This window comes from Homo sapiens, chromosome 15 (genome assembly GCF_000001405.40).
Source record: "Homo sapiens chromosome 15, GRCh38.p14 Primary Assembly".
NCBI classification, from domain to species: domain Eukaryota; kingdom Metazoa; phylum Chordata; class Mammalia; order Primates; family Hominidae; genus Homo; species Homo sapiens.
In genome coordinates, this window is record NC_000015.10 from 22,655,043 (window position 1) to 22,664,709 (window position 9,667).

The 9,667-nt window shown below is 36.6% G+C and overlaps 1 annotated feature.

Annotated features, from left to right (window-relative positions):
* Positions 9,549-9,638: a silencer, noted in NCBI's record as "silent region_6257". NCBI's record gives its function as "represses an Ori minimal core promoter by ATAC-STARR-seq in GM12878 lymphoblastoid cells {active_cell/tissue: GM12878}" and the evidence as "EXISTENCE:reporter gene assay evidence [ECO:0000049][PMID:35858748]".

The window sequence follows — 9,667 nt, forward strand, 5'->3', positions numbered from 1 at the left end:
ATAAATGTCTGCTTAAGACACCAGTCTCTGGTATTCTGTTACGGCAGCTTGAGCTGCCTAAGACACCATGACAATATAAAAATATTAACAAGATTAGCCTGGGCACCATAAGAAGACCCCATCTTTAAAAATAATACAAATAATAATAATAATAACAACAAACTAAAACATTTTGAATTTTTAAGTGATAATTTTCTCATTAGATACTGAATCACCTACTTAGAAAGATACAGATCCCAGGGCAGGGCGCGGTGGCTCAGCCTGTAATCCCAGCACTCTGGGAAGCCGAGGCGGGCAGATCACAAGGTCAGGACATTGAGACCATCCTGGCTAACACGGTGAAACCCCGTCTCTACTAAAAATACGAAAAATTAGCCGGGCGTGGTGGCGGGCGCCTGTAGTCCCTCCCACCTACCCGGGAGGCTGAGGCAGGAGAATGGCGTGAACCCGGCAGGCGGAGCTTGCAGTGAGCTGACATCGTGCCACTGCACTCCAGCCTGGGCGACAGAGCGAGACTCCGTCTCAAAAAAACAGAAAAAGAGAGCATGATACAGATCCCAAACTCATTATTCTTAGTATTTCTTCTAAAATGTTCATCATTTTGAAGATTAAGATTTCTTAATGCATCTGTACACACATGCATATATTCATACAAATAACTACAGTCATTTTATCAGTTTTATTTTGACTTTTATTTATTTAAAAATATTAAATGTATTTTATAAATGAAGAATGCATGTGTGTATTTATTTATTTATATTTTTATTTTGAGACGGAGTCTTGCTCTTTCGCCCAGGATGGAGTGCAGTGGCGGGATCTCCACTCACTGCAGGCTCCGCCTCCGGGGTTCATGCCATTATCCTGCCTCAGCCTCCCGAGTAGCTGGGACTACAGGCGCCTGCCACCAAGCCCGGCTAATTTTTTTGTATTTTTAGTAGAGACGGGGTTTCACTGTGTTAGCCAGGATGATCTCGATCTCCTGACCTCCTGATCCGCCCGCCTCGGCCTCCAAAAGTGCTGGGATTACAGGCGTGAGCCACTGCTCTGGGCCTCATTCAAGTATATTTATATAGGAATGTCTGAAATACTGCCACCTAATGTTCAGCAATTATTTTCATTTCTGAGCAGTAGAATTTGAGTGATTTTTATTACTTTTGATTCTGCAATGTGATGTATTCTTTAATTTTTTCATAATGTCTTTCGTATTTATTAAAAGGTTAATTAAATCATCCTAAGAATATTTTATGCATATTTTTGTTAAAATGGGATGTTTAATAGTCAAAATTCTCCATTTACTAAATCTTTCTCAGTCAATGCTTCAGACTTTCCTTTTCTACATTTACTAAAAATTTAATTTCAATGTTATATACTAGAATAACATAAAGTATCTATTTTAAATTTTACCTTCACAAACATCTTTAACCAGAAAATGAAATAAGCATTTAAAATATCAAATAAAATACTAGTTTTCAGGTCTGTTGCTTTGAAAATGTGCTTCCTCGTTGAGCAGTATCTGAATTTTTATTACTATACCAGGGTATAGATGAAATATCTAACTAGTATACTTTTAAATTGAAACTGCAAAAAATATATACAGAATTCAGTAGTGCATATTCAGCATGTAAAACATTTTGCCTATTACATTCTTCATGTTGATGGTAGCTATGGCTAAAGTTTGTAGATACTTGGTTTCGTTAGCTTTTAGAGTTGCTTAGGTTAAATATGCTATAATATACCAGTCCCTGCTGGCTTTGAACTACTTGGAATTCTAAGAAGTGGAGCAACATAGTACAAACCTATAGAAAATATGATAAATGTACCACGAATGACACAAAATATTTTCTGCATGTCACATAAGGAGTCATTCTCTATCCAGGCACAGTGGCTCAGGCAGGCGCACACCTGTAATCCCAGCACTTTGGAAGGCCAAGGCAGGTGGATCACAGGGTCAGGAGGTTGAGACCATCCTGGCCATCCTGGCTAACACGGTGAAACCCCGTCTCTACTAAAAATACAAAAAATTTGCCAGGCGTGGTGGCGCCCGCTTGTAGTCCCAGCTACTTGGGAGGCTGAGGCAGGAGGATGGTGTGAACCCAGAAGGTGGAGTTTGCAGTGAGCCGAGATCCCGCCACTGCACTCCAGCCTTGGCTACAAAGCGAGACTCTGTCTCCAAAAAAAAAAAAAAAGTTCCCAATGCACAAATCAATCAAGAATTTCACCCCCAACAGTGAAAAAAAAATGTGAAAGCAGTCAGGTTTTAGTCACTGTAAATCACAATTTCAATTCCACCCCGTCCAAAGAAAGCTATGTACGTCCTTCTCATTCCAAACACATACAGGCCATGAGTTAATAATCTTTCATTCTTCTAAAATACCAACAGGTTTGCTTTTTTACTTTCATTTGTAGTTTATAGCACTCACAATTAAATTGATCCAAATGTATTTGAGGTATATTTTATATATATATATATATGGATCAAAGGTCAATGCTATTGTCTATGCATTAGCCACTCCCATTTATGAGAATTTTCTGAACTTGTTGCTATATATCTCTTAAATGGTGTCCGTTGGCCACATTTCTTTCCTGAGAAACAACTGAGCAGCTGACAATGAAAATGAAGCTCTCTGCATTCCTGTTAGGCATACTGCATACATCTTAGGCTCTCTGCATGCCTCTTAGGCACTTACATTTACATATATTTGTATCTCATTACATAGTGATACAGTCCTAAAATAAAGTAAATAATGAGTTATTTTCTAGACAAATTTGATGAGGCTTTTATTTGATAACAAATTAAAATTATGCCACCAGATGCCTATACCTTGACTTATAAAATGTGTTATGTTCTGCATGGGCAAATAGAAAGTGCAGAAATTGAACGGCTGCCTGGTAAAATTACCTAAATCCACAATGCCACTGGACAACATTGAACTAGATATTTAAATAAGTGAAAGTAATCAAGTAGTTGAGTTCACTGATAAAATTATACTTGGAACCTTACATCATTCCCAGATTAATATATACAATGTATATCAAATGTCATTGCTATGGGAATGGAAACTGTTACACATGAGGTTAAATTTTTATAAGGAATTTTTTTTCCTCTAGAACTGACATTGAGAAACTTGATATCCTCTGTTTATGGCATGTCTTAAGAAAATGTCAACCCAATGTCAAAGGATAATTAATTTTTTTAAAGAAAAGAAAAATAATGGTTCTCATACAAATGTAAAATGAATATATGTTCATGATTTTATTTAACTGATTAATAAATAAGAGTGCCACAGGATGTTTTAACGGGTTCAAAGGAGAATACAAAGAGCAGAGAATATATAGGCAGACATTCAGGCTGAAATGAATTTGCTTAATAAAGGCAAAACTAGCCAATATCCATAGGGTGATGGTCAAATATATCTACACTGGATAATTTGCATTTTCATGGACAGGAATTATTGGCAATTTACACAGTTGTGAAATAGGTAAAACAAACAAAAAGTGAAAGGTTCAGAAACCCCATACAATCAGCTAAACTAACATTTAGTTTTCCATTGAAAATATTTAGCAATTTTTTGAGACCATTTCAAAGTTTTTCTTAATTTTTCTCTGCTCTAAACAAGTATATAAATTATTTCCAATGAAAATTAGAGCTTTTTCTTTGTTGAATTAGTATTTTGAAAAATTTATGGAAGGAGACAGAACATAAAAGCAGTTGCCAAGTTTATCAATTAAGTTGGTACGATTACAAATCCCAATTAAGAAATATTTTTAAGTATATTTTTCTTTCCAAGACAAATAGACATTAAACAGTCCTAATGTTCATATCCTTTATGTTACATATATATGTATAGATGTGTAAGTATATGTATATCTACATGTATATAAAAAGACACAAACTCACATAGTTATTTCAGAGAATTATTTATGGAAATGTGTTGGGTTTTCTTTTTGTAAAGCTACGTTATCAAGAAGTTATTCTTAGTTTTACAGAAAATAAAACAGCTCTAGCTCTTTGTATCATAAGATAAATATCTGTTTATAAATATCAGTATTTTCTAATACTTCTGATGTACTCTTTTGGAGGTAATGGTATATGAAACCCTATAAGAGCAATTCTACTTCATTAATTAATTCGGAAGAAACACAAGTTTTTAAGACCCAGTGTATGCCAACAATTGACAAAGTCATTAAGGTAGACAAAGATGGGTAGAGCCTGGGCTTTGGCTATGAATGTTAGAAAATGAATCACTGAAAGTAAAACATGTTTAAAAGATTAAAATAACAAAAAATGGTTTGAAATTAATTTCAGTTATTGGCCATCAATTGGTTAGAAAGAGTAATTAAGAATGAGTCAAAGCTTTTTTCTCTTCATTTAGGTCAAATATGTCATAAAAATAGTCAATTTTAGATTATTATAAGTCAATTATGTCAAAATGGTTGAATGACATGTCATTGAAATTAATCTTTAGCTTGTAATGCTATCATTTCAGTTTTAATTAATATTGGGGCCAAAATGTTCATTAGATACTGTTTTTAATGATCAGTTTTTATGCAAATGATTTATATAAGTCAGAACTTCAATTCAATGTTTGGTAGCTGTTTGATTTTTAGGACATTATATATTGAAATGTACACTGATTATCCTAAAGTTGTAAATATTTAAGAAACTTTACAGCAAAAAGTCTAAAATAAAGATATATTTATATTATTTCCAAAACAGAAAATTTAAATTGATTCCCTAGTCAAAGAAACTGTTTGTAAATAAAATGTAACAAACTATATATTCCTTGGCCCCCAGACATTTTAAAGTCACTTTTCCTTTTTATATACATGTTCTAATATTATAAACAGTGAGCTCAGGAATACCCTAATTTGTCTTTTGTATATTTTCAGCAGATTGTGCTGTTTCAAATTCTATTATTTTACTCCAATTCTTTTGTTTACATATTGCTTTTTTTGCTAGCGTTTTTTGTATTTTAAAATATATTACTATATTGTATATAGTAATATTGTGTTTCTATTTCTCTTTCTTCATGTTTTATTTTGTTCCATAACCTTTGGCTTGTCCTTTTTATTCCATATTCCCATTTGTAGATGTAGTTTTCAAAGGTGCTTATTTACACAAACTTAAGACTCTTGGGCCAGGCGTGGTGGCTCACACCTGTAACCCCAGCACTGTGGGAGGCCGAGACGGGCGGATCACAAGATCAGGAGATTTGAGACCATCCTGGCTAACATGGTGGAACCCTGTCTCTACTAAAAATACAAAAAAAAATTAGCCGGGCGTGGTGGCAGACGCCTGCAGTCCCAGCTACTAGGGAGGCTGATGCAGGAGAATGGCGTGAACCCGGGAGGCGGAGCTTGCAGTGAGCCGAGATCGCGCCATTGCACTCCAGCCTGGGCGACAAAGCGAGACTCCGTCTCAAAAAAAACAAAAAAACAAAAAACTTTTGAACCAAAATATTCTGAATGAGATCAAAGTCAAAGCTCAAACGTTTCTTAAAAATGAGGTTTTTCTGAGTTGGGAACCAGAGTCATCTATTGCCCAATGCAATAGGCATTGAGAATAGAACTTGCGACAACTCTCTGTTAACAATAGAAAAAATGGGATAAGATAGAGGCAAGGAACATACATTCACGGAGCAAGAGGAAACACTGAAGAACTAATAGAAATTGGGCTTATTAAAATAAACTTACCAAGGTATGGTACCAATTCTCCTTTTTTTGTTCAGTCCATAATAGAGTTCTTAATGCTTTCAATTTTTTTCTTATAATAGTTTTCCTAAATATATTTCATTTATTGGTTTGTTTGTTTTTTACATGGTGTCTCGCTTCATCGCCCAGGCTGGAGTGCAGTGGCGTGATCTCGGCCTACTGCAACCTCCGCCTTGTGGGTTCAAGCAATTCTCCTGTCTCACCCTCCTGAGTAGCTGGGACTACAGGTGCCCGCCACCACACCTGGCTAATTTTTGTATTTTTAGTAGAGACGGTATTTCACCTTGTTGGTCAGGCTGGTCTTAAACTCCTGACCTCAGGTGATCCACCCGCTTCGGCCTCCCAAAGTGATGGTATTACAGGTGTGAGTCACTGCGCCCGGCCCTAAATCTATTATTTAAAAATCCACCTGTACAATTGGTATTCACAGAAATTGCCCATATATGTTATTATTTTATTCTCATAACTCTCTATGCCAAGTATAGATACATTATTGATGTGGAAAATTAGATCACAGAGATAAAGTGACTTTCCCAAGGTCAGTGCAGAAAGGGAAAGGTGAAAATTTGAAATTGTACCTGAAGAGTAAGAGCAAAGGGGTTAAGGAGTTACTCATAGATCTTTGTGCCTCAGAGGTCCTTACTGAGAGTTTTAATCCAAATGGTTTGGTAAATTTGGGGCGACAGCTATAACATGGCTTATGTGATGCTTAGTGTTTTGGAACCATCAAGATCTTTGCAATGGCATCACAGATAACAACCCCATCATCTTGTACAACATGGACATGTTGGGAAATAATGTTTTAGTTCAGTCATTGAACTGACCCAAACTTCTGTGTTCATATTTTTATAGACCTCATGATTGTTAAGATATAAAGAAGCATCAGAAGTTTTGTTTTTTTTTTTTTAATTACAAAGGAGTTAGGATATTCCTAACATCCAAAGTGAATTAAAATAATTCACTTTGATGTGAGAAAGAGCTTCTTGTCTTAGGGACACTGGTGAGGTGAATTCACAACTATGGGTTGTTTTAATTGAATTACATCCTCAGAGGGTTAGTTTTGAGCTCTGAATCTACAATCTGTATTTTGCAAGTAATCAATGGTATTTATTTAAGTGCTCTTGGTAAAGATAATGTGAATAGGGAAATCTGCTTATTTCTAGCATAAAATTGTTTATTAAGCAAAATAATAGAGCACTGCAAATTAACTAGTAAAAAATTGAAATCTTTAACTTTCACACCTTCATTTGATATTTACTGAATATTCTGGGGACTAGCTTATATGTAATTTAGCTCAACTTTTGTTTAAAATAGGAAACTGAACTTTGAAAATAAGTACTTTTAAAAATATTTTAGAATGCAAGATAGTTTTCATGGAAACTTTCATGGAATAATATTCTTTATATTTTAGAATCAAGGTATGTTCCTACTTGGTATTTAATCAAGGAAATACCTAAATCAAGAACAATTCCAAATGGCTGTTTATTAAGTGTGATGGTTTACTAATGTCAACAAAAGTGAAAAAAATTATATTGAAGTATAAATAGTAATCTTGTTTAACATATTTATAAATACATTTTTGTACATATTTGTGTTTTGTACCTATTTATATAAAAAAATTATTATCTTTTGTACAAATATTTTTAAGATCTGGCACTTTTTTAGCACCCCAGAAAAATATTTTTCAGGCTCTCAGCTGATGCTGAGAAAAAGAAGTCAGTCTCATATGTTACCATAGATTAATATTGCCTATCTTTGTCTTCATATAAATGGAAGCATACGGTATTTATTTTTTTCTGGCTTATTTCACTCAAAATTACATTTGTGAAATCTGTTTATGTTATGGACCAGTGATTCATTCCTTTTTGTTTTGTGTAGCACCCTGTTGAATGAATATGGAGCTTTCCAATCCGTTCTATCCTGATGAATATCCAGGTGTTTCTGTTGAAACTGCTGGTCATATATTATGTGTTTAAATGTAGTAGATAATGATAATTATTTTTCCAAAATGGTTGTATCAACTTAATAACTCATTCAAATACGTGAAGACCTTCTAACAATCTAAAAAGATGGACCTCCAATTTCAAATAATAAATAAAAAGATTAAGTACTTGAACAGGCAGTATATGCACATTTTTTAAAATAAAAGATTGAGTTAAATTTTGTAAAATGTAGGCCGGGCGTGGTGGCTCACGCCTGTAATCCCAGCACTTTGGGAGGCAGAGACAAGCGGATCACGAGGTCAGGAGATCGAGACCATCCTGGCTAACACTGTGAAACCCCGTCTCTACTAAAAATACAAAAAATTAGCCGGGCGTGGTGGCGGGCACCTGTAGTCCCAGCTACTTGGGAGGCTGAAACAGGAGAATGGCATGAACCCAGGAGGCAGAGCTTGCAGTGAGCTGAGATTGCGCCACTGCACTCCAGCCTGGGCAACAGAGCGAGACTCCATCTCAAAAAAAAAAAAAAAAAGAGAGAGAAATGTTAAGTAAGAATCTCATTTGAGCTACATGTGTGAAAATATGTCTTTTACATTATTATATAACACAGATTTTGGATATGACGAGTGCTGAACTGAGGCTTTTCACTTGATATGCATTACAAATTAGAATTTTTCACTCACAAAACATGCTTATGACAATTTTATATGTGAATAGAATTGTAAAAATTGCCTTAAGAGTTATTGAATAAAATGTTTAAAGTGCCTCATAGGATGAGGAAAAAATGGAAGAGTTAATTAACAAGGATACAAAGCGTAAAAGATAGAGAAGAATAAGAGTTCAAATAAAATCGAATGAAAAGACACCATCTTGTGTAACTCTGTAGTTAATTGTGCATGTGTGCTATTTTTCATGACTTGGAGCACGTTATTTTTTGGCGAAGAGCTTCCATTCTATCTATGGATATGCCAAAATTTTCCTATTTTAGATCTTCTAGTCTCCAACTCTCAAGATAAAAAACAAAAATCATTAAAACCTCTGACTGATATTGAATGCCTGCAAAAATATCTCCTCCCATCACCTTGCAACAGATGACTTGCTCGTACACCTTTTTGACTACCACTCCCCATCAAGGGTTCTCTCCTTCGAGACGGCAGTAATTCTCTATGTATTTCATGTTATGTGCAAACTTTACTTTCAAAGAGTTGTTACCTATATTAATGTATTTACATCATTCACTTAATATATTTTCTCTATCAGTAAAATTGGTTTAGATATATTGGATTAGGATAGAACACGTCACAATTTTTCTCACCTTTATGATTTTTTTTTTAGTTGGACCGTTTTTCAGTTGGTGACAGTGTCAGAAATGAATTAAAGTTGTTAAGAATAGGTAAGGGTAAAGAGAAGGGTGTCCTTATGTATCAATTTTGCTTATTTAGTTTTTTCAAGTTCAATAAGACCCTCCTCTCCCTTCAAGGAAGATGATTCCTAGGCACGTCTGTTATTTCTATCAAAACACCTGAGGTTTTTTTTTTCATTCATATTGTTAAAATACCAATTGTGGAGCGAAAAATGCTTCACCTGGGACTGTCCCCTGACAGGCGGTGCGACGAGGTCAGGCCCGCGCCCGCCAAGCCCTAGGGCCGCTGCCGCCGACGGCCATGGAGGACGAGCAGCCCGACAGCCTGGAGGGCTGGGCGCCGCTCCGGGAGGGCCTCTTCGCCGATCCCCAGGGGCACCGGTTGCGCTTCCTGGTGGCTTGGAACGGCGCGGAGGGCAAGTTTGCTGTGACTTGTCACGACCGCACCGCGCAGCAGCCGCAGCGGCGCGAGGGGCCCGGCTGGGGCTGGAGCACAAGCCCGAGGCCGCCGTGTCCCCGCCCAGCTGGGCCGGCCGGCTCTCGGCCGCGGGGTTCCGCGGCGCGCGCCGGCAGCTAGCGGCGCTGTGGCCGCCTCTGGAACACTGCTTCCCACGGCTGCCGCCGGAGCTGGACGTGGGCGGCGGCGGGGCCT